Below are 26,333 nucleotides of genomic sequence, written 5' to 3'. Positions count from 1 at the left end.
TGTTATTAACACTTTGTACAGCTTCTCAGATGTATTATACCATCTTCTTGCCCTCTTTTTTTTTTTTTTTTTTTTTGAGATAGAGTCTTGCTTCGTTGTCGCCCAGGCTGGAGTGCAGTGACACAATCTCAGCTTACTGCAACCTCCGCCTCCCGGGTTCAAGCAATTCTCCTGCCTCAGCCTCCGAAGTATCTGGGACTACAGGTGTGCACCATCATGCCCGGCTAATTTTTTTTTATTTTTAGTAGAGATGGGGTTTCACCATGTTGGCCAGGCTAGTCTCAAACTCCTGACCTCAAGTGATCCACCTGCCTCAGCATCCCAAAGTGCTGGGATTACAGGTGCGATCCACTGCACCTGGCTCTTCTTGCCCTCTTTGAATCTTTGAGGATATGATTCTTTCTCCCATTCCTCTCAGCCTCCTTCCCTTACTCAGCTCCCACTTCTCTGGTTGGCAGATTGCCTTTCATCTTCAAGATCTGCTCTGCTACCACCTCTGCTGTGAAGCTTTCCTGGATTTCTCGCTATATGTATACACATGTCAGACTGGATGAGGGGTACTTTCTCGGAGCTTTTGGACATATCTTTATTGTAGCACTTTTTCTGCTTCCTTGACTTGGCTTTCCCTCTAGTCTGTGATTAATTCTAGGATGTAGATATTGAGGGTTGGGGGTCAAATCTGGTCCATTCCTCTATTATTCTCCATCATTTGACATAAAGTTAATATTTAATCAGTGTTTATTGAATGAATGAATGAATGGATTCATGGACAAGGGATGTGTGCAGACAGAACACAATAGAAGAAATATTTCTTAACAAATAAGGGGAAGAGATGTTGAAGTTTATTAGTAATCAAATTATTATTGATTAAAATGAGACATCATTTTTACTTGTTGAATTAGGAAACACTTTTTATGGCCAGGCGTGGTGGTTCATGCCTATAATCCCAGCTTTGGGGAGGCTGAGGCAGGCAGATGGCTTGAGCCCAGGAGTTTGAAACCAGCCTGGGCAAAACAAAAAGCCAACCCCGTCTCTACCAAAAAAAAAAAAAATTGCTGGGCGTGGTGGCACATACCTCACATACCTGCAGTCCCCAGATACTCGGGAGGCTGAGGTGGGAGGATCACTTGATCCCAGGAGGCAGAGGTTGCAGTGAGCTGAGATTGCACCACTCCACTCCAGCCTGGGTGACAGAGCGAGACTCTGTTAAAGAAAGAAAAAAAAAAAACACTTTTTTTTTTCTTTTACTTCTGTCTCCATGTTTGACAGGAAACACTTTTTGAAAGGATATTCCATTGCTGTGGGCTCTTACTCATTGCTGATGGAAGGGTAAAAGCAGCTTAGTACTATGTGTCAAGACCTTTTTAAGTGTTAGTTTCTTTTAAATTTTTATTTTACTTTTCATTTTTGAGACACTTTCTCACTCTGTCACCCAGGCTGGAGTGCAGTGGTACTATCATAACTCACTGAAGCCTCAAACTCCTGGACTCAAGCGATTCTCCTGCCTCTCAGCCTCCCAAGTAGCTGGGACTGCAGGCACACACCACAATGTCGAGCTAATTTTTAAAAATGTCTGTAGAGACGGGGTCTTGCTATGTTGCCTAAGCTGGTCAAATGTTCCTTTGTTTTGCCTCACTAATTGTACTTCTGGAACACCATCCGAAGGGAATAATTGTAAATACAGACAAATGTTTATGCATATAGATGCTCATTATGGCATTATTTATATAAAAATTTGGAAAAAAAATGTGTAATATCTAGTAACAGAAGTATGGTTTAGCATTTTGGTTTCAGAATAGTCTGTAATAACATGGAAATGTATTAGTTAAGTGAAAAAGATGAAAATATGTTCACACCTATTAAGAAAAAGACAAATGCCCATGCATAGTAAAGAGACTGCAGAGGAGTGTACCAGGATGTTTACTTGGTTATATTTCGGTGGCAGGGGTGTGTATGGTTTTTCTTTTCTTTTTTTTCCTTGCTTTTGCATATTATCCAAAATCTCTATAATTGGAAATGTATTACTTTTATAATGGAGTAAAGCCCATATATATATATATATACCATTTTGTTTTCCTTTGAGACATGGTCTTGTTCTGTCACCCAGGCTGGCATACAGCAGAACGATCATAGCTCACTACAACTTTGACCTCCTTGGCTCAAATGATCCTCCTACCTCAGCCTCCCGAGTAGCTGGGATTACAGGCATGTGCTACCATGCCTGGTTAATTTTTTAACGTTTTGGTAGAGATGGAGTCTCATTAGGTTTCCCAGGTTGGCCTTGAACTCTTGGCTTCAAGTCACCCTCCCACCTTGGCCTCCCAAGTTGCTAGAATTACAGGCAAGAAACTCTGTGCCTGGACCAAATTTTATATTTTAAAGTGTGTGTTCAAAAAGATTTAAGAATCTGATTATATTACTGATAATTATTTGATATGAGTAAGTCTTGAATTACTAAATTGATTACAAGCACCAATATGGCACAGACTGTGTTTTGTATTCAACCGTTGTGTGATCAATAAGTACCTGTGGGTTTATTTGGAGGCACCCTTCATCATGTAAGGCCCCCTGATTGTCACAGAGCTCACCATGGTCTTGTAGGCCTCTAAACCATCGGGAACCAAGTGAGAGACAGTTAAAAACAAAAAGCCAAACAGGTGGGATTTGCTTGGAGACAAATAATCCCTGAACATAAAGTGGGTGTTAATGCAAAGGCAGTGGTAGAAAACGAAGAACTCTGCTTGTAAATGAAATGAATATTCACTCCTTCTGCTTACCTTGCAAGTTAAGCACCAGTATTGAGACTTCATTTGCTGTTACCAGTTACCAAAAATGTTGACACAATTTAAAAAACAAAACTAAAAAACCCACTGTTGCTTTAGCTTGTTTAAATGCATATTGTACCAAATCATGGAAGAATTATAGATGAACATTTTAAAGGATTTCTAAAATTATACTTCTATGAAGAATAGACTGTTAATGGTATACAGCAATTACTCTTAACTGCATGAAAATATCTCATTTTGTTTGGCTACACTTAAACAGGCCTGAAGTCTAGTGCACCAAGACATACTGAATTTCAAACTAAATAAATTAAAATTACCATGTACATTCCACTACATGTCAAAACAGGAAAAACCATAGTATTATAGTTGATATGAAATGAAGATTACATACAACAGTAATACAGAGAAAACATGAAGCTGCTTATATTTATTTGGAATAAGACAACAGGGTCAATGATTTTCACTGCAGATGTACTTCTTTTTGAGAAAATATATCCAAAAATCAATTTACAAGGCAGATGAATTTGGCTGTTATTATTTATAGTATGTAAATATTATTTAGTTTCAAAAGGATTTCTTTAAACCAGGCACAGTGGCTCACACCTGTAACCCCAGCACTTTGGGAGGCCAAAGTGAGAGGATCACTTGAGCCTAGGAGACCAACCTGGGCAACATAGCAAGACCCCATCTCTACAAGAAAGTTTAAAAATTAGCCAAGCGTGGTAGTGCACACCTGTGGAGCTAGCTACTTGGGAGGCTAAGGTGGGAGGATCGCTTGAGCTCAGGAGTTCGTGGTTGCAGTGAGCCATGATCACACCACTGCACTCCAGCCTGGGTGCAGAGTGAGACCCTGCCTCTTAAAAAAAAAAAGACTTATTATTTATTTCAGGGTTCAGTGTCCTTGCTTGTCATTAAGAACTTGACAGAAATTAGAGGAATTTAAAGCTATGATGTTAGATGCCACTGCCAATTTAAAATGACCAAGATAAAGATAGCATATCTTTATATGTAATAGAGAGTGAAAGAGGGCATCTAATTCAATTTCTAAAAATTAAGTATTTATGGAGCATTTCAGATCTATTCATTGTATAAAAGAAGGCACACCTGGAGTTTATTTCTTTAGCACTTTAGACTTACTCCTGAATATGACTGTTTAAAACAAGCATGCCATTTTCATTTTATATCCTGCAGATAGATTCTAAGGTTTCAGAGTCATCAAAAGCATTTCACATTTCTCCAAGGTAAACTTACTTAAGAGAAGTAGTGCTTTCAGTTTAATACAACTTGAAATTATCTCCATTGTGAGATGGTGAAAATAGTAAAAATTGCTATTATTTATTGAGCATTCATAGTTCAAGGTACTATGCTGAATGCTTTTTATATCTTGCTAACTTAATCCTCATTTTTCATTTATTCATCAGACTACTTGTTATAGAGAGCTTACTATGTGCCAGGGGCTACTTAAGGTGTCACAGATTCAACAATGAACAAAATAGACAAAAACCACTACTCTCTGTGGATCTTACACTCCAGTGGGGGTGGGAGGGAGATAAAGACTATCTTCAAAATAAGTAATTATATACCGTTAGAGTGTGATGAATGACACTGAGGAAAAGAAAGCAGGAAAAGGGTTAAGAAGTGCCAGAGTTGTAGAGGAAGGGGTCACACTTTTTTTTTTTTTTTTTTTTTGAGATGGAATTTTGCTCTTATTGCCCAGGCTGGAGTGCAATGGCGCAATCTCAGCTCACTGCAACCTCTGCCTTCCAGGTTCAAGCGATTCTTCTGCCTCAGTCTCCCAAGTAGCTGGGACTACAGGCGTGCGCCACCATGCCCGACTAATTTTTGTATTTTTAGTAGAGACGGGGTTTTGCCATGTTGGCCAGGCTGATCTCGAACCCCTGACCTCAGGTGATCTGCCGGCCTCAGCCTCCCAAAGTGCTGGGATTACAAGTGTGAGCCACCACGCCCGGCCAGAGGTCACACTTTTAAGAAGGTTGGCCAGAGAAGGCCTCACAGAGAAGCTGACATCTAACAAGATAAGATGCCCTACAGGAGGTGAAGGAACAGCCTATGTGACTGTCTTGGGGAAGAACATTCCATTCTAGGTAGAGAGAACAGCAAGTACAAAGGCTCTGAAGTTGAAATGTGCCTGGCTTGTTTTAGGCAGGTGTAGAGGGAAAGATGGGAAGGGTTGTAGAGGATGAATTCCTAGCGACAGCAGAGGAGGGGCCAGATCATGTCAGGCCTTGTAAGCCATCATGAGGCTTTTGAGTTCTACTTTGAGAGAGATGGCAAGCCCTCACAGGGTTTTGAACAGGCAAAGAACATGATCTGACTTCTGTTTTAACATATCATCCTGGCTTCTATAGGAAAATAAAATTCTATTTCACAAGTGGTCTTGTCCCATTTCACAGATAAGGAACTCAGATTCAGAGAAGTTGAGTAGTTTACCACAGTTCCCATTTACTGGTGAATTAGTGGGACTAGAATTTTAATACAAGTCAATGTAATTTGAAAGCTCACACTTTTTCCAGACTGCCTCCCAATTGAAAACAAGCTTGTGACCTCAGCTGGAGTAGTTTTCTGATAGTCTACAGTGACCCCTTTTTTCTCCTTTTCTGTGGAATTCCTTGGTCTCTCTTGTGAGGCCACCATGTTGCATAACTCCGGAAGAAACCACTTATACCACAAGTCTATAACTGTGCCCTCTGGAGGTGGGCAGTATGAAGCCAAAGTGAAGTGGCCATCTATGGTGGCCTTGTTCTCCAGTGAAGTTGAAGAGCTTTGTACATGGCATTAAACTCTAGTTAGGCCTGTAGCAAAACCTGTTTGGTCAGACATTTGTGTCGGACTCTCTGTGATGTATTTTGCCATCTCTCCTTCCTCTGACACATATTCTACCAGCTATCTCTACCACCCTCTACTGTCTGGCAATACTCTAGCTGCAGATTCAACAATGAACAAAACCACAGTATGACATGCTGGAATATAAGTGGCAATACGGCAAGGGTTTCTGTTTTGTATGGGCAGCTTAGGCCCACAAGTGTAAGAGAAAGCCTGAGGGAGGGTAGGATATGAGCAGGTGTGCACAGCTTCTGATTACAGGAAGCAAAACACATTTTATTTGATGAATATCAAATTGAAAGTAATGAGAAAGGGTGCTACCTAATTGTCGCCAAAACTGCTGCTTGGCTTAATTTAGGCTCAACTAGATTTTGTTGTATGCCTTAGGGTCTGAAGGCTTAGGCTCTTGAGCCCTTGTTTATGCTAAAACTAATTTTTTTTTAGTTTATTTGAAAGACATTGCTTAGACTTTAATGATTCAACAAGTAAGAAAATACCCTGAGATTCAGAGCTTTAAAAGGAAATTTTGATTCACCATTTTACTGGATGACTTTAATGGAATTATGTCTTATAAAGCTGTTTAGCGTTTCATGTTTCAGAATTCTGCGTAGAATTCTCAATACCCTAGAGCATCTTGGCATTTTTTTGAGTCTTATGACTTTAGTTACTAAAGTCAAGAGAAAATCATGGCAGCATCCTTTATAAGATTAACTAAATAATACTGTGATATTATAGTATTATACTGTATAAAATATTAGTGCCAGGAATGTAGTGCAATGTTGGCTAAAGGCAAAGGTAACTTGCTATCTAAATCTTCAAGATTAGTAATAATAATCACAGGACACAAGATCAATACAATCACAACTGCCTTTTAAAATACATTTTTATTTCCCTGAAATGATTGGTCAAGAAGTACTGAGATCAGATTTTGCTATCAGATCTTATTTCAAGTTCAGTATGACATTTTAGGTGAGGAAGGGCTATGCTTGATGGAAGTTGTACCTATGTTTTTGTGGCTGCTGCTAAGCAAAAATAGAGTGTGCAGAAAGCAGTTTGGCAGTGCCACAATAGGTTAAACAGACTTACCTGTGACTGAGGAGTTTCACTCCTTGGTATATATACCCCAAAGAATTGAAAACAGGTGTTTACACAAAACTTGTACACAGATTTTCATAGCAGCACTATTCACAACAGCCAAAGGTGGAAGTAACCCACATGTCCATGTATGTATGAGTGGATAAACAAAGTATGGCACATTCATATAATGAACAATAGTATGATAGTACAATGAATAAGAATTCAGCCGTGAAAAACGATGAAGTCCTGATACATGCTACTACATGGATGAACCTTGAAAATGTGCTGAGAGAACCCAATCACAAAAGAATACATATTACATAATTCCATTTATATAAAATATCCAGAAGCTGGCAAATCTGTAGAGATAGCAGATTCTGGGTAGGGAGGAGGGTTAGGAAGGAGGGAGGAAAGAGGCGTGGTTGCTCAATGGGTATGAGCTTTCTTTGGGGTGATGGAAATGTTTCAGAACTAGATAGAGGTGGTGGTTATACAACATTGTGAATATACTAAATGTCACAAATGGCAAATTTTATGCTATGTGTATTTTACCACAATGAAAAATGGAATGTGTGACTTTTGATTTTTAATTCTTTGTGAATCCTACTAAAGTTTAACAGGGCGGGGGTGAGTCCTGAAAAACACACTTGTGGCAAATGCGGGGCAGAGTGGTGACAGCCATCTGAGGTCTGCAAGGTGAGGCTTGTACATCCTGATTGAGATCCCTCGTGCAGGAACCTGCCTCATGTGGGCACAGCAGCCACACAGGCAGCCGCTCCAGGAGCCCCTGATGCCCTGCAGGGCTGTTGGCAGTTTCAAATATAGCACAGCTTCTTTGAAACTTTCATGTAAAGTCATGTAAAACCGGAATACTGAGCTGTTTAAAACCCAAGCATACAGAAACCCAGCAGATATAAATTTTAACTGCAGTGAAGCCAGGATAATTTCAGTTTATCCAATGAAAAGGAAAATAAACTTTTATGTTCTGGTGGTGCTATAATAAGTTTAGTGAAAGGTGTATGGAAAGTTTCTAGTTATTGCTCCACATGTTCTTTTTCCTTGTCCTTGGGAGCATGCCACTTTCTCTTCTTCACGCCATATTCTACTCTCAAAAGGAAATGCTTTCGAATGTTTTTTTTTTTCATTTAGACAATGAAAATAATATTTGATTATTACAAAAATTCAGAAAAAATGGAAATACTTTTTTTTAAAAGACATCTCAACCATTCAGGATAATACTATTGATGTTTTGGCATGCATCCTTCTGGTCTTATTTCTATGACCATATGTGCACCTGTATCTTGATTTTTCACTGGGATCATACTACATTTATCAACATAGCATGGACATCTATCCTACCAATAAATATCAATCAATACCATACTTTTCTTTTTTTAGAGATGGGGTCTTTGTCTGTCACTCATGCTGGAGTGCAGTGGTATGATCATAGCTCACTGCAGCCTCAAACTCCTAAACTTCAAGTGATCTTCCTGCCTCAGCTTCCCAAGTAGCTGGGATTATAGGTGCATGCCACCATGCCCAGCTATTTTTTTTTTTTTTTGGTAGAGATGGGTTCTCACTATGTTGCCCTGACTGGAGTACAGTGGCATGGTCATAGCTCACTGCAGCCTCAAACTGCTGGGCTGAAGCAATCCTACCTCAGCCTCCCAGACATCATAACTTCTTTTTTTTAACTTTTAGATTTATTCTTCTATAATCTTCTTTTTTATTTTTATTTATTTATTTATTTATTTGAGACAGAGTCTCACTCTGTCACCCAGGCTGGAGTGCAGTGGCATGATCTCAGCTACCGCAACCTCTGCCTGTTGGGTTCAAGTGATTCCTGTGCCTCAGCCTCCTGAGTACCTGGGATTACAGGTGTGTGCCACCATGCCCAGCTAATTTTTGTATTTTTAGTAGAGATAGGGTTTCACCATGTGCCAGGCTGATCTCAACTCCTGACCTCAGGCGATCTGCCCATCTTGGCCTCCCTAAGTGCCGGGATTACGAGCGTGAGCCACCACGCCTGGCCCCAAACATAATGCTTTTAATGGTGATGTAGTGTTCCATTTTACACACATGGCATGACTGTTTCTTGATCAGCGTTGTAGAGGAGCCAGGGGCTTTCCTTGGAGTGGCTCTTTTGTGGTTACTTAGCCCTCTGTCAGAGATGGTTGGTGACTCAGGTTTTCTGAAATTATTTTCTCTTACTTTTTAAATAATGATTAGTGATAGCCCTCAAAGCAGAGATGATGGACAATAAAGGCAATAAAGGTCCATAAAAAATCAGCTTAAACCCCACTGCCTTTAGGCACATTTCCTGACTGAGCCCCACTCCATCAGTTCTCTCCGCCTTCTGTGTCCCAACAGAAGAGGGATAGAGTAGTAGGCAAGAGCATGAGCTTTAGAGCCAGACTACACGGGTTCACATTCTGGCTTTTGTGACATTAGGCAGGTTATTTAACATTTCTGTGCCTCAGTTCACATCTGTACAGTGGGGATAATAGTAGCACCACCTCCTAGGCTAGATGCCAGAAGTCCCTGCTAGCACAGGACCTGGCACACAGTACTCAACAAATGGCAGAGGTTATTGCTATTACTCAGTTTATTTAAGTGGCCCTACCAGTTTGTGGCTTTGAAAGATCATCTATATGCTTGGACAGTGCAAATAGATAACAGATTCTGAAAAGTTCAAATGCCAGAGAGCCTTTTACAGTGTTTTCCATATAGCGAGCCTCCTGCCAATATTACTAATTGATTGTCTGACCTGACTTGCTGAAATTCTGGGATCATCTTGGTTGGATTTTGCATTCATTTCCCATTAAAAATACAAAAGCAAAACCAAATTTAAACAAAACAAAACAACCCAGGAAACTTGAGAAGTAGATGTAGATTAAATGAATTTCCTTTAGATAGGTCAACATCAATGCTGTGGGCTTTCCTAGACTCTATGGAAATTCTTGACTAGGAGAATCTAGAATTATTAGATGATAATGTCCAGAAATACCTAAAAGAACTGAAAGCATTTATTCTGAAAGACCTCTTTCTAGCAGAAGGCCAAATAAAATTTTCTATTCCCTTGTTTATTCAGGATTCTTGGGAACTGAATTATTTCCAGTAAATAAATTTTCTAGACAGTGGAAGCTTATTCCTGTAACCACCATAACATTTTGCATTTTAATCATTTTGATATAATTCTGTCTGGTGTATGCTGCTTAGTTTATGGCTTTCATACAGAGTTACATTGAAAACAATTCAGCCAATTTGCTAGGCCTTGAGTCGTCTTCATTGATATGTTGTTGTTTAGTTTTTTTTTTTTAGCTCTGCCTAATAATCTCAGTACCATTTGCCTTCTAAAGATGCAGACAGCTGTACGCTTACATAGGTCTTTTAACTTTTCATTTTTTTTTCTCTTGTTTTTTTTTCTCACTGCCAGGGTGTGTCCAGTTTTACTTTTTATTACAGAAATGTGCATGATTGCTTTCCCCATCCCAAAACACCTTTCTAATTTATTAACTTACAAATTTTATGTCCCAGGAAACCAGAAACCCAAGCCTGTTACTATTTTGTGTAAGGAAGATTAATAGGCATTGAATAAAGTCATGTACTTAGTAATAGGTTTTTTGACCATTCAAAGCCTTTAAAAATTTACTTCCTGGTTGCAGGCTGTTATTTGGTAGGTGTTTAACTCTGGGCAAAATGCCATTTTATTTATAAGCTACAGTGCCTATGATTTTCCATTCTGGCATTGGTGCCTTCCTGCTGCTCCCAAATTAAGAAGAGAAATTAAGTTAAAAAAATCACATGACCTCTGTACAGTTGGTAAAAGTTTTGTAAAATGGAATTTGGATCTTTTAAATAGAAGGAGATGTAAAATACTGTATTCTTAGATATCAGTTTATAAATGTTTTTCCATTTTTATTACAGAGACATATTGATGTCTTTGACTGTTGGAAACCTTGCAGAGCAAGAATTTGTAACCATTGCACGTCACTACCGTGTGCCTGAGGGCACATGTTCAGATATGGATTTCTTAATCGCACTGGCCCACGAAAAGTTCAAGAAAAATATGTTTGAGAATTTCGACACTTTCATTTATTCCTGTGTGTATGAAGATCGAGAAAAGTAAGCTTTTGTTTTATTGATTCTAATCATTTACATTTCTGTGAACCTGAGTAATGAAGGAATTTCTATTTTATCAAAAAGTGCAAAAAGAAAATAGACATGTGTCATCATACTCATACTCTACTATTTAGCACAAACACCTTAAATCATTTTCGGAGAAGTATTTAGGTACAGATATTTCCCAGTGATGGAGAGCTTGTGTGTGTGTGTGTGTGTGTGTGTGTGTGTGTGTGTGTGATATGGCATCTGGCCCTGTCGCCCAGGCTAGAGTGCAGTGGCGCAACCTCGGCTCACTGCAACCTCCACCTCCCAGGTTCAAGAGAGTCTCCTGCCTCAGCCTCCTGAGTAGTTGGGACTACAGGCTCGCACCACCGCACCCAGCTAATTTTTTTTTTTTTTGTATTTTTAGTAGAGACAGGGTTTCACCATGTTGGCCAGGCTAGTCTTGTTGACGGAATAGGGGAGGCCCTGTATCTTTGAAAGAATAGGCTTCTCCCTTGCATGTTCTTTTCATTTGTTTCTAGAAGCTTTCAACTGAAGCATAGTAAATCAAAATGTTAGGAGGGTTAATTCTGAGATGTCGTCTTTTTACATTATTTTAGTACTGATGGGGATTTATAAATGTAACTTTTATAATAAATAGAAAATGGAATTTTCAAGCAAACATTCTGTAGAATTTCTTTGAAATTATTTCTTCTTGAAAATAATGAAGTTCAGTATAAGCTATTTCTTATACATTGATTGTGTGCGTGTTGAGCTTCATTAAGTCATTGTTACATACAACTGGATGCAAACAACTTAATGTGTTTTTTTTGCATTCATCTTACAGACCTTATACAGTGGGGAGAAATATAAATTTACTGATTTCATCTGGAATTAGAAAAATCTTAGTTCTTGCTCTAGCTTCTAATCCGTATTGCTGCACACCACTGCCATCTCTCTTCCTTGTGACTTCTTGCCTTATCCCCAAACTTGAAGTCTGAACCCAAGTGGCCAACTGCATTCCCTGAATATCTGTGTAGGTCCCATAGTTTGTCTTAGAAATAATCATTTTTTTTATTAATCCATAATGCATCCTCTTTGAGTTTTTATAAAGATGGTATTTTTCCTTGACTCTTTAAGCTTTCCCAAGCTTCCTAGAAGATGTGTGGCCTGAGTTTTGCATGGCCCTGGCCCTGCCTTCCACCCTGGTGTTGCCCCCTTCCCCAGAGTGAGAAGTGTGGCCCTCCTTCATTCAAGGAACACTTCTTAGGAACAATGGGGCTGCTTGACCAGATAGCCTGAGGTTCTTCCAGATCCATCAAGCTTTGATTCTAGATATAAACATTCTCATTGCAAAGAAAAGAGCCAACTTTCTTTCCTGTTGGTTCTAATTTTGCCCGATGCCTGGAAAAGTGTTGGCTGAATGAGAACATTGGACAAGAATGTCTTTGCCCCCATAAGACTGGAGAAAATGACTTTTGGGCTGCTCTAGAGAAAACTGCTAGCATCTGAAAAAATTGAAGTGAATATTGAGGCCCCAGCTGGGGCTTCCAGGTGATAAGGTTTGGGTCCAAGGAAAAGAACAGAAAAACACCCTCAAGTCATATCATACTTGTGTTGGAGGCTCTAGATGCCTGTCAAATTAAGAGATGTTTTCAAATATCAGAACCATTTTTGACTAGTGGTCAAGAATGCAGATCAATTACTTAGAGCAACACTTGTGGCTGTAGCCTTAATAGGCTGTACTGTCACCAACCAAGAATCTGCATCTTGAAGGAAAAGCCTTTGTAAGGATGGAGTCTGGTGGCCTCTGAAATAGAAAAAGTTGATGAAATGAAATGTGACTGTTCTTCCTTATTGTGAATTCCAATACCAATTTTCATACTTCCATGTGTACATTCTCAGGAAACATCACAAATGTATTTTCTTTCCTATAGTATGTAATTATTACTAAAGGTATACAAGGTATATAAAAGCTCATTTACGTTGTTTTAATGCAGAAAAAATGTATTACCCACCAAAGACATTAAAAGGCTGTGCAAATCCTCCAGATTACCTTTGAGTGATGATCTTCTAGAATCCTTATTGTCAAGGTAAGTTAGAGTTCCACTCTTGATAGGGATTGTCCTGCATAGTTTTATTTGGGGGACCATTCCTGGTTTTACATCTCCCTTTAATTACCCTTGATTTACCCTTAACTGTTTTGATTATATTATTGGTGACCTGCCTCCATTTAAGTGTTACAGAAGGAAAAGTTTGTCTTGATTTTGAATGTTAGAGAGCCTATTACAAATTATTATTTTATCTTTTTAACATGAATACACACTTATAGATCCACAGATTCCTGGGACAAAATGAAATACACAACTTTGTTGGTTAGGAGGACATTAGATGTAAAATTCAGGGCAGGTTTTTCAAAGCAGCAGTTCCTGATAGCTATAGACATGCAGTAAGAGAACCTAGGGTTATTAGCATGGGGCTCTGTCCTGATAGAGCACCAGATGTAAAACATAGAGATTATGATGCTATAAAATGAGAGCATGGTGAACTGCTTTCTAAAACACATCAGTTCTCCTGTTGAACCTGACTTTTGATTTCCTGGCATGTCCCTCTCAGCCACCTAGACTCTGGCCATCTCTTATGCTTCCTATAGCATCACTCACTCTAGCTCCTCCTCTGACTTATATATCTTGATAATTCTGACATTTTCAGCTGTGTTCTAGGCATTGTGATCATTGTTTTGGATATATTATCTCATTTACTTTTTGAGAACAGCTTGGTGAGGTCGAAACTGTTATCCTTCTTATCTCATACGTAAGGATGCTGAGGTTTAGAGAGATGAGGTATTTTGCCCAAAGTCACATAGTGTAGAAGAAGAAGAGCTCTGATTTGAATCCTGAACTTTTCAAATGCACATCCTCTGCTTCTAATCATTTTGAGTTACTGTCTACAAATAGCCAGTAGATTAGGATGTCTTGACAGTTCTACCTCCTCCTTACTGCTTGCTTCTACTCTCTCCTCTCCATTTCCACTATCATCATTCTTGTTCTGACCCACATTGCTTCTTAAATACTGCGGTGCCACCACATTGGTCTTTCATCCACCAGTGTCTAAATGTTTAAATCCATCTTTACATATAGCAGCTAAGTACCTTCTAAGAGCAAAAATGTATGTCATCTTATTGCACTTTTACTCACAAACCTTCTGTGGTGTCTCTTTGCTCTCTAAGGAAGGACCAGCTCTTTAACTTTGAATTAAGCTCCTTCTCCATAGTGGGGCTTAGGGTTCGCAGCTGGAGCATTGTTCTCAAATAGGGTCTGAAGTAGGGAGTCCTTGTTTGAGACAAAAGGAGAAACCAAAGGAACAGATAAAGCCAAATTCTATGTCAGGGAACTAGGGTCCAAGGTATCAGGAGGGAAACCCAGAAGAGGGCAAATCTAGTTGGATGTGTATGTGCATTGAATCAACCTGGAATAATTTTCTAGATTATCAGTTCTATTTGTTTTGTTTTGATTTTGTTTTTGTTTAACTCTATTTGCTTTTATTTGCTAGCAGCCGTGTGAGGGATCCTGCCGTGAAGGAACTGAGATGAAGTAGGCAGGCCTTGGACTCAGAGTTCTTCACAGATATCATCCCCCACTCCCAAAACTCCCCTTCCTGTTCCCAGTAGTCCAGCCACATGGGCCGTTTAGCATATTACACATATACCTCCTGCCTTCCCCCTCCCCCCCCCTTTTTTTTTTGGCCTTTTCCCTTGCTATTTCATCAGTAGGCAATAGCTCCCAATGGTTTTCACTTGCTGAAAGCTTGCTCTTCCTTCAAGACCCATTTCAAGTGGCACCATATCCATGAAGCTCTGTTGCATTCGTTTGGCTGATAATCAGAGTGATTATCTCCTGCTCAGAATTCTCACAGTGCTATTTATGTGTCTCTTTATCCCTTACCTTGGAATGAAGAGTTGTGACTTGAACTTCGATTCATTCAGATGCAGACACTGCTTCTGTGTGATTTACCACCTATAAATAACCAATGGGTTGTCACATCCTGACAATTTTACCCCCCTCCTCCACTCCCATCTCTTAAATTCTTTGAGTCCACTTATTAGCTGTGTGATCTTGTGCAAGGGTTTTGACCTGCCTGAACCTCAGATTCCTTATCTCTCGAATGACGTAACAGTACCTATTTCCTAGTGGTTCAGAGGATTAATTGAGATAACATACATAAAGTACCCAGCACAGTACCTGGTGCAAAGAATTGATTGAGGACTAGGAGAGAAATTTAAGTCAGGGACCATAGACCACACACTCAGACTTAGAAATGAACTGGAAGAAACCTGTGTCTTTCTATGTAGAGGAAGCCATGTTTTTCAACAATTGGATCTGAATGCCTTTCACACATTAAGCTGTCTTCTAGTCAGGAAGCTGTGGATGTTTATTAGATTATCTTTTGATGGTCTTAAGGATGAGTTGTCCTGGAAAGTCCAGTAATGTGGGAGCCTGGCCTCTGGAGGACCTACATGTTTCTTATCCAGTGCTGAGGCCACCAAGTCATCATCCTCTCATTCTCTCAGCAGACTGTTTTGTCTTTGCCTTTACGATTTGACATTAAATGCAAAAAGATTGTTTCAGAACTTGCTTCGAAGTCATCTCAGTCTCTGAACACATCTGTCTCCAAGCCCAGCTTAGCTTTGAGGAGGTCATCCCGCTCAGCTGCTAAGCAGACCATGTTCAGTCTAACTTTGCCTCTAATTGTGCAGTGACCCTTCTCCACACTCAGGGGAAACTTCAGACTAATCAGATTAGAAAATGTCTCATTCCCATTCCCCTCTCCCTCCAATATGCCCTGCCATGATTTGGGTCACATGCTTAGTGTTTTGCATCATCTCTGCAGATTCCTTTCAAAGACTGCCCTAATTCCTAATGGGCCCATCAGCCTGCAGCTTACATTTATATTCTGCATTCTTATTGTTCCCCACAGACTCCACAGGGCTTTACAGAGCCCTGACCAGAGTCTCTTTCTGCACAGCCCTCCTTATGGCACGCTAAGCCAGAGCCCCCTCTGACGTCTACAGTCTCCCGTGGGAGGCAGGCATGGAGCTTGTTGATTTTGTTCAATGCATGCTCTTGCCCAGGAATAGTTTTACCTGCCTTGGAATGGAGCTGGGCAGCTGCTGAGCAGCCGTGTAACCCTGCTGTGTAAATTCAGATCAGGAGATGAAAAACAATATGGCTAAAGGGTTGGATGCTTTCTTTCACCCAGTAATTGTTACCCATGTATTTCTCCTAACCCTATATTTTGGTACCAGGATTTTCCTTCTACTCCATTCCCATTTTTCTTATAATTCAGCTTGATCTTTTCCTTATTATGTTAACATAACTCAAACTGGAATCAGGACTTCAAAACCTTTTTGTACCTGGTTACCTCAGCCCCTGTCAGTTTGTGCTGTGGGAGCTGGTATAAGGTCACCTTACTTACCAAGCAAATTCATTTCATTAATGCACAGAGCATCAGACTTAAATGTTCTATATAGTGGTAGCGATTATCCATTAATAATAGGAGTGATACTTTGTATTGATGTAGTGCTAAGGGCCTTAGAATATTTTGTAAATTTTTGAGCATATTAAAAGGTACATTTTAATTGGCAGTAGGCATTATTCCTCATTTCATAAGTATAAACTCTGAGAGTCTCTCACTGAAAGACTGTGCTCCAGGCCAAGATGAGCCTCTAATGGAAGTAGAACTACAACTGCCTAAGATACTCTAAACCTTTGCCTCTATCTGAGCTCCTGAGGGTAGGGACTAGATCTCGTTCATTTTTGCAGCCTCAAAGACTTGTCCTGTGCTAACGCACTGGACATGGGGTAGAAAAACATGGGCTCGGTGTCCACCAGAGCTGCTCCTGCCTCTGCAGGTCAACTCTACTGTTTCCTGACCATGCGATTCTTGGGCATTTACTCAACCCCTCTGAGCCTTCATTTGGATATTCATATTCCTCTGTAATAATAAGCAAAAAATTCTGATTGTTAGACCATAAGAGGTAGAGGGAATTCTGAAGCCATTCCATTCTGTATTCTTCATGGGACTGGGAAGGAAAGAGGCAGCCTTCTCCCCTAATTGTGGCCTTCTGAATCTAGACTTGGAATAACTAGAGATTCAAGTGCAACTCTTTCCCCAGCAGCTCTGTCCTGAGCTAGACTTTTATAGTTGGCTTTGGGTTCCATGGAATGCCTTAGAACTGGCCTCCCAAGAGAGCTGGTGCCTCATCCAGAAATATCAGTTAAAATGGAAAAAGTTAACAGGGCTTTAAAATCATCTCATTATAGTCTACCCAGCCTTGCCCCCTGCCCTGCTCCCAGAGGCACGGTTAGTGCTCCTGTGATTTCACCCAACAATACCTGGCAGTGAGGCTGAAGGGCAAGGGCTGAGCCATGTGGTAGTTATTGTGGCAGAGTGTTTGGTGTACTGATGAAGTTTTCACAGAGAAGCCCCTTCTCTCTGTCTCTCTGTCTCTCCCTTTTTCCTCCTTTGTGTGCTCTCTCCTCTCACTCTCTCTGTCTCTTTGTCAGACCCATCCACCCACCCAGATGCTTTCTACCTTTTCAAATATAAGGGGATTTCTAGTTGAAAAGATTTTTCTTTTAAATCCCAAACCATATGGACAAACAGAGTATCGACTCTATGTACAGGCCTTACCTGGCAGCTGTGACCCACCTCACCAGAGATCTGTGCTGGAGTCAGAATTGGAATTTAGAGGCATGACTATTTAGAGATAACCAGAATTACTTGTTGGCAACTTGACGCAGAGGCCCAGAGCTCCATCTCTTCTCAAGTGTCTGGCCTTGACGACTTTTACCAGGTGTTTCAAGATGCACCCCTGGGTTCGTTGGGTAATGGACTGAAACCAAATACAACTGAGTCAAAAATGGATCTTCACCGTCTTCTCTCCCTTCCAGACCATTCCCCTAAATGATGAGGTGACCTTTGCAATAGAGGAGAAGAAGGCTCCTCTTCAGCAAAATACAGCTGCCACTGAGCCTTTTACCTCTATCAAGGGTGGAAATAGAGCAGTTCAGGATTATTCCCCGTAGCAAGAAGATGGATGGCTTCTTGGCTTCTGTGGTTTTCAAGCCATTTATCATTTTGGGGAGGGGGAGTATGAACATCAGTCAAACATCACATCAGACTCAGTTCTAAGAACTCCCACCTAGCATGACATCAGGAAGCATGTTCGAGGGGTCGTATTATCTAGAAAGGAACCAGAGGAATTGCCTTCCCTCCCCCTTTTTCCACAACATGTCTCTGAGTTTGTGTAGTGGAGAAAATGGTGGATTCGCAAGTATCAGAGGGAAAGAAGAATTTATGGAGGTTTTAGGAAAACACTTTCGCACTGTGAGCTAGGACTTGAAAGTAAGAAGGCTGACTTTTTAACAAGCGTAGAAACACTTAAAAGCCAGAATTAGTGCTGCCCTTTAGGGCAGTCACCCTGGAAGGCTGCACACTGATTCCAACAATGTGGCCATAGAAAGTTCTTCTTTGGAATTGCTTTTCAAAGCCTTTTGAAAAGAATTTCCTCCAGAGTGGCAAATCTTTGTCCTTTGACCATGGATCAGAGTTTTAACAAGAGCCAATGTCGTTTGGAGAGGAGTGAAGCAGGGGACTCAGGTGGAGAATTGGGACCACTTTTTTTTTTTTTATGGAAAGCACAGCATGGCCATGAAATAAGGAGATTTATCTTCTATATGATTCATAGGCTTTTCCAGATTATTTTGAAAGGATGGCTAGGATTTGGTAAATGATGCTTCTAGCCATGAGACAGAGGGAGGCCTCTGTGATGGGGGACTTGGGGAGATAACCTTCAGGGGTAACTCTAGTCACTGACTGATTGATTTGTTCTCACTCCTGTAATATTCAGACCTTTGTCTCTGAACTGCTTCCCCTGCCTCCTCCTCCTCCTCTGACCTATACTATTGTTAGGACTGGAGATCTTCCTTATGTCCTGATTCTCTCCTTACAACCTCATCTAACAAGCATGGTGTATAGAGTGCATGTTATAATAACAAATGATGGCATGAAAAATCACCCTATGTCAGTGGCCCAGGAAGCTACGGGCAGAATTTTGGAGCAGGGAGGAAAACTGAGAGACTCATTCCTCCTGAATATACTCCTGACTAGTAGCACTTCTTTCTTTCCACATCTGACTTTTACATGTTTACTACCTGGAAAATCATGTCTCAGAGTCTCTCATCTGCTTTTTACACTCCTTAAAATTTTCTTCATATCAAACTGACATATGTTGATAGTCAAAAATTATCAAATCATTCTAAAAAGCTTATTTCAACAACAGCAGTCTCTGGCCACATTCTTCTCCACCCCCCAGACCCATTCACAAGAAGAAGCCACTTTCAGCACTTCTAGCTGCTTCTGCTATTTAAAATAGCATGTACATATTGAGTGCACTGCACATGATATCATAATTGATCATTTGCAGATACTGTCTGCTAACTTCCTGTTATAGTGACTGAAAATTTAGCTTAATATTGATTTACATTGCTATTTATTCTTTTGGAATGCTCTTAGGATCTTCTCTTTATTCCTAGTATTCTGGAAGTTCATGATGAGAGAGAGAGAGAGAGTGTGTATGTGTGTGTGTGTGTGTGTGTGTATGTGTAGCTATATATAGATTCATTGTGCTTAACACCCTATAGGCTTTTCTAGTTTGGAGTCACTGTCCTTTGGTTCTGAGAAACTTTCTATTAATTATTTAATAATTTCTTCTCTATTATGAGAACTCCTATTGCTAAGATTTTAAGGCCAGGTGTGGTGGCTCACACCTGTAATCCCAGCACTTTGGGAGGCCGAGGCAGGAGACTTGAGCTCAGGAGTTCTCGGCCAGCCTGGCAACATAGTGAGACCCTGTCTCTACAAAAAATAAAAATAAAAAATTAGCCAGGCATGGTGGTACGCACCTGTAGTCGCAGTTACCCAGTAGGCTGAAGCTGGAGGATCACTTGAGCCTGGGAGATCGAGGCTACAGTAAGCTATAATTGCACCACTGCACTCCAGCCTGGGCAACAGAGCAAGACCCTGTATGAAAAATAAATAAATAAATAATAAATAGAAAGATTTTAGAGCTCTCGAATTTGGATATTTTCTCTCCCAGATTTTGTTTTTTATTAGGATGCATTTACTAAGGGATTTCCTTAAGTTTATATTCCAGCCCTTCTACTGCATCTTTTACTATCATATTAAAAATTTTAATTCCAAGAGCACGTTTTTCATCCAGATATTCCTTTCTTGTAGTCTTCTGTTCTTTTTTCAGGAATGTAATACATCCTCATATCTCACATCTTTCCCTGTGTTCCCTGAATTGCCTTTGGTTCCTTTTGTTTTTTGTTTTTTTTTGTGTTGCTGTTTTGGCTTCTGTCTTTAATGTTGGATGCTTTGGTCAGGGGAAGGGGTTTGTTGATTAGTGGATTTCACTACCCAGTCAACTCCTGAGCCTTCATTTTATTAGAGAATCCCCAGAAGCTGGAATCTGGAGATTTCTCTGGAACCATTCAGAGTGTGGAGAGAAGAATCCTATCTTCTCCTGCAAAGATAGGAGGGAGGTTGTGATGGGGAAAGGGAGAGTTTACGCATGGCCACTGGTATTCTAGGAATAGAAAAGGGGAAGGAAGGCACCTGACCGCCCCTCACCTCTGCACTCCATTTTGCCTCCTCTCCCCAAACTGGAGCTTCTTTCATTGAATTTCTCTGGAGAACAAGCCTCTGGTCTCTACAGGGAGGAGCACAGTACGGAGGAAGATACTTGGCTGTTCAGTTGCTCTTGCTTTCTTTTTTTTTTTTTTCTTTTGAGACGGAGTCTCGCTCTGTCGCCCAGGCCGGAGTGTAGTGGCGCAATCTCGGCTCACTGCAAGCTCCGCCTCCCGGGTTCACGCCATTCTCCTGCCTCAGCCTCCTGAGTAGCTGGGACTACAGGTGCCCACCAACACGCCCAGCTAATTTTTTGTATTTTTAGTAGAGACGGGGTTTCACTGTGTTAGCCAGGATGGTCTCGATCTCCTGACCTCGTGATCCGCCCACCTCGGCCTCCCAAAATGCTGGGATTACAGGCGTGAGCCACCACGCCCGGACACCGCTTTCTAAAGGCTTTCAAACAATCCGTGTTTTCAGTGCCACACCATATTCCTGCCTTTATTGGCACCTGGAGTCTGCAGTCACTTAGTCTCCCAGGAATTTTGTGGGCCAAATCGACTGGACTCTGAGTGCCCTCTCCCCACTGACAGGGACATTTAGGGTTCAGCTTCTCTTCCTCAGCTCTGCCAAGTTAGTTACCAATCCTCTGTTTACTTTTCATCTTGAAAAGAGTTTGACGTCTCTTCTCTACCGTGGTCTTTTTTCCAATTCTCTTTGTCATTGTGGGTTATAACCTATTTTTATTGTTTTTTGGTCATTTTGGTAGGATTTTGGGGAAAAGGGAGAGAAATACTTGTGATTGATTCATCGTGATTTACTGCAACCCTATCTACTTCCCAAGAGCAAAGAATTCTTCCAAGAAACATGAGCTAGTTTTATTCCTTTTAATTGAAATATCCTTTGTTCTTTTCTCCCTTGTGCCTCTTGGGGGGATTCCCACACACACTGAGATCCTCTAAGACAGAACTGAAAAGGAAAACTTGGAGTATTTTACCACATTACCACAACTCTTCCTTTAGGCCTGGCTCTGGGATTTTGGAAAGATGAACTCGTTCAAGCATTTTTTCTCAAAAAACTTTTAGACATTATTTCTGAGCTATGTATACTTTTATTCAGTGGACCTTCCTGAATATCATTTGATTCCTAAATATTCTTCTTAAATGTCCCCCTAAATGGATAAATGGTTCAATGTTTTGAGTCTGACATATGAACTGGGCAGGAAGGAAGACTGGGTGTTATGAGGTAACAAGTAAATATCAGAGTTAGTGGTAACAACATTTAATGATAGGACTTCGTGTGGTGACTTCCAGAAATTTTCCAGTAAGTTCCAGAGCCATCATCTAGGGCAAATGCAAATTCAGGCATAGGGACTCAGATAAGAGGAACTTCAGGAGGACTTTCTAAGGAAGCAACATTTGAAATGGGACTTTCCAGACAAAGGGACCAGAAGTGCAAATGCCTTGCATTTCTGCCAGCAATCTTGGCATGATCAAGGAACCAGAAGAAGGTTAGTATACCTGAAACATTGTAAACAGAGAGAGTTTTCAAGTGAGGAGATGTAATCAGAGAGGCCATCAGCAGCCAGATTAAGTTGGGTCTTATAAACCCTGATAAGGAGTTTAGCTTGTGTTCTAAGTGGATTGGGAAGCCACTGGAGGATTGCAGGCAAGAAAGTGATTGATCTGATCTGTGTTTTAGAAAGAGCACTGTGGTGGAGGATGGTCTGCTGCTAGGTAAGAGTAGAAGTAGCAAGACCAAGACAGGAAGTTATTGCTATAATCCAGATGAGAGACAATAGTGGCTTGGAATTAGGGAGTGGTAAAAGAGATGGAGAGAAATAGATAGACTTGTTATATGCTACAGTGGTAGAACCCACAGGACTGCTTAGTGGATTGTATATGAGGAGTGAAGTCTGATGTGATCCTAGATTTATTTGGTAGTCTTTGACTGGTTCCCAGATTACCAGGATACTATACTTCTGAAACCCCTAGGATTGAGTAAGTGCCTCTTATAATTGATGTAATGGGAATTTACTGACAAATTCTGTACTTTAAGAACAGATAGAGAAACTTATTTTATTGATGATCTCCTCAAGTCTCCCAATTTTTTGGCTTTAAATACCTTCCATATGGCTAATGACTCCCACATTTATATCTTCAAATGGACTACTTCCTTGAGCTTCAGACTCATAGCCCCACTTGCTCACTTTCCATCCAAATGTGGCATATCTAAAACTGAGCTCATGATCTTTCCAACCAGCAGCCCCTACAGTCTTTCTCATCTCAGTTAGGGCAGCTCCATTGCTCCAGTTATTCAAGCAAAGGCATTGGAGTCATCCTGAATACTCTCTTTTTCCCTCTCTCTCTTACATAATATATATAGTCTTTTAGGAATCCTACATTCAAAATATATTCAGAATTGGCCACTCCTCACTGCCTTCCAGTGCCACCACCCTCATCTAAACTGCCGTTATCTCTCATCTGGATCCCTGCAAGGGACTTCTAACTGTCCTTGCCACTTCTGCCTTGCCCTCTGTGTTCTACTCTGAATGTATCAGTCAGAGTGATCTTTTAAAAATATCATAAGTCCCTTCTTAGTCTGTTCAGATTGCTATAACAATACCGTAAACTAGGTGGCTTATAAACAACAGAAATTCATTGCTCAGAGTTCTCATGGCTGGGATGTCCAAGACCAAGATGACAACAGATTTGGGTCTGCTGAGGGCCCACTTCCTGGCTCACAGATGATGCCTTCTCTCTGAATCCTTACAGGATTACATGGCAGAAGGGGCAAGAGTGCTCTCTGGGGTCTCTTTAATTAATATAAGGGCACTAATGTCATCATGAGGGCAGAGCCCTCACTATCTAATCACCTTTCCTAAAGCCCCAACTCCTAATATCATCACATTGATGAGGCCTCAATATATGAATTTTGAGGGGACACAAACATTCAGAACATTGAAGGTCTCATAACCTTTCTGTATAATATGCCCTAGTGACTCTTAGTTTTCCTCAGCATAAAAGCCAAAGGTCCTACATGATCTCATTCTTTGACCTTAGCTCCTACTCAGGATATTAGGAAATACTTTCTTTCAAGGCTCTGTGCTAAAAAAAAGTTTATTATGAGACATCTTTAATTGAGTTTTCATTCTTCCCCCAAAACATACACAAATAAAAGAAATAATGGTCCTACATTTTGGCTATAAATATTTCCATAAACAGAGTATGTCCTTTAAAGGAGTTGAAATGACTAGTGAGCCATAATTTAAAGGGTGGTAAACAGTGGGTAGGGGGCAGCATATTGGAATTGTATCTTAGAATCCTTGGCCAAAGAAAATGTACACAAAAGAATTACAGAATTCCCCTTTCCCCTCTTCTGGTCACTTTGTTTATTCCATTTTGTCTAGATTGATGAGGCTATGTGACTTCAGCTTGTAACATTTAATTTATTGCTGCTAATTTTTATTAGTTTATAAATATAAGCTATTAATTTTTTAGTACTTTGAGAAGAAAAGAGAAAAATCTTTGGACTGATTAGGAGTATATTTTAAGGGCAGGATCCTGGAATAGGGTGCCTGGAACAATGTCTAGTGACCACTTTGTATTTTCCTTCAAAAACTGGTGTTACATGATAATTAGCCTTAAAAACTGGCAGAATGTGATCAAATTTAGGATAGGTGGCATTGAGGCATTACACTAAGTAATTTTGTGTTTAGGTCATTGTAGCAATTGTGTTGAAATTACTGTATCTTCATGGCCAAATCTCTATTATGGTTAAGGAAGAATTTTATCTAATATCCATAATTAGGAAATAGTGGTCAAAGAGATTCATTATTTTGACCTATATTTTTCTGGTACAGAATAATCATTTGTTAATTTTTGTTCAAAATGAAAATGAGCTGAAGTTTTTCTGATTATAAACTTAAAACAATTCAGATGATACACAAAAGTCTAAAGAAAAATCAAAAATCAGAATCTCTCTTCCCAGAGATATCTATTCTTAATATGTAAGTCTATTGCTACCATATTTTTTCTGTTTTTTAATATATAAACCTAAAGTGGGATTGTAACTCTACATACTGTTTTACAGCCTCCTTTCTACTTAACCGTGTATCAAGAACATATTTATACGATAGCAAATTTGGATCTAAATAACCCCTTTTAATGGCTACATAATAAATGATAAAGATGCCTTTTATTTTTTCAAAACATATACTGGTAGAAAAATGAATCTAGCTTGCCTTAAAGATTTAAAAGGTATGCAATTGAAGAAATATAAGGACATTCTATTTTGCTGACATGTAATATCAACCATTAAACTAAAAGGACCTTTAAATCTTTTTAACAAAATTTCACTATAGTCTTCATTACTGAATGAGCAAATTTGCGTCTGTGGCAACTACAACAAGTATTTATTGAACACCTACTAAGTGCCAGCACTGATCTTGTTGGGGATATTTTGATGAATTAGATAGGCAAGATCCCCGCTCAAAGAATTTACATTCTGGAGGGTCAGAAGCAATAAGAAATTGTAAGAAATAAGAAAACTATCAGATATTGAAGCATATATGGTATTATGTTTTCATGATAAAATTGAAACTGACATTTTGGTCTTGAATTCTGCAGATTGAGTCAAATTATATATTATAATTATATTTTCAGGTTTGAAGACAGTGAAAAACAAATAGATTATAAGTCATTTTTCTCTGCCCTGAACTGGAGAAAGAATCCAGTGCCTGAATTGCAACCAGCATCATACCTTAAAGAGGTAAAATGAATACCTATTTTAAAAACCATCTATGGTTACTTCCCTTGCATGTTTAATATCCTTTATCTTTAAATTATTTTTCATTATAAAATATTAACATCAGTGCTTTTGGAAAGAGTGCTTATGTGTTTCTGGGCATTTGTGTTAAAGGTTAATTTACTTTCCATGCTGAGCAAACATCTGCTCTGTAAAAGCATGACTTTTCTTATGCAGCTGAATTTTTTTTAACCTCGATCGCATCCAATTATATGGAAAATAGGATAATAGGTTACAGTTATAAATAGATATAAACACTGTTATCAAGGGATTCTGGTAACATCATCATAAGCCACAAGAGCAAATCTCAAATGGTGCCTATGGCAAGAATCCCTAGGGTATCCGGGTATCCGCGGCTGTGCACACAGGTTTGCCATGGGTGAAACAATAGAGAATGGGGATGCACATTTCACAGTGAAACCAAATTTAAAATCAAAATTCTGTAGAAAAATGCTTGGTTAGGGAAAACAAAGTTCACATGATCAGATGGTGCTCTCAACATTGTGGAATTGTCTGAATTCTCTAAGATCTCTTTGGACTAATTGTCTTTAAGAAGTGGGTGGGTGGGTGGTGGTTTGTTTGTATTTTAACATGCTCCAGAAATTGATTTTCTTGGGAAAGTCCCTTGATAAAGCAAATGTCATGTGGTTGATACTCCCAGAAAGGAGGCATTTATTTCTCCTGGTCTCTGCTGACCAGCTCATTCTGGCTGGAGCTGGTCTAGTGCCTCTGGGAGTTCCCTCAGGCATGCAGCTACTCCAAGGGCAGCCATAGAACTTCCAGATGGTTGGGGGAAAGTAGTAGCCTTTGGAGTCAGACAGAGCTGGGTTTGAATTTTGGCCCTGCCACCTACTTAGCTGAATGACTTTGGGTCAGTTAAGTTACTTATCTTGTTGATTTATGAATGTAATCCCCAGATAAATCAGGATTAAGTATTGACTCTCATCAGGTTCTCTGCTGTAGGCTGGGGTCCAGAGACAAACATTGTCACTGCTACCTTTGAGGGGCCCACTACTGATG

General features: G+C 40.0%; 1 protein-coding gene across 4 annotated transcripts in view; it reads left to right on the top strand.

Annotated features, from left to right (window-relative positions):
* The window catches only part of EFHC2 (EF-hand domain containing 2), a 195,801-nt gene that overhangs the window by 154,474 nt on the left and 14,994 nt on the right, over window positions 1-26,333 (top strand). For 2 of the 4 annotated variants that reach the window (NM_025184.4, XM_006724562.3), the window contains 3 exons: window positions 10,635-10,832; window positions 12,815-12,907; window positions 25,172-25,277. In NM_025184.4, the coding sequence (NP_079460.2) occupies window positions 10,635-10,832; window positions 12,815-12,907; window positions 25,172-25,277 (397 nt within the window). Of the gene's footprint in view, window positions 1-10,634; window positions 10,833-10,990; window positions 10,993-12,814; window positions 12,908-25,171; window positions 25,278-26,333 lie in introns of those variants that run through there. The other 2 variants (XM_047442536.1, XM_047442535.1) reach the window with 2 other exon arrangements.

The sequence above is a fragment of the Homo sapiens genome, chromosome X, assembly GCF_000001405.40.
Source record: "Homo sapiens chromosome X, GRCh38.p14 Primary Assembly".
In the NCBI taxonomy this organism is placed as follows: Eukaryota; Metazoa; Chordata; class Mammalia; order Primates; family Hominidae; genus Homo; species Homo sapiens.
Note: the sequence above shows the minus strand (reverse complement) of the source record. Positions and strands in the feature narration are given on the sequence as shown.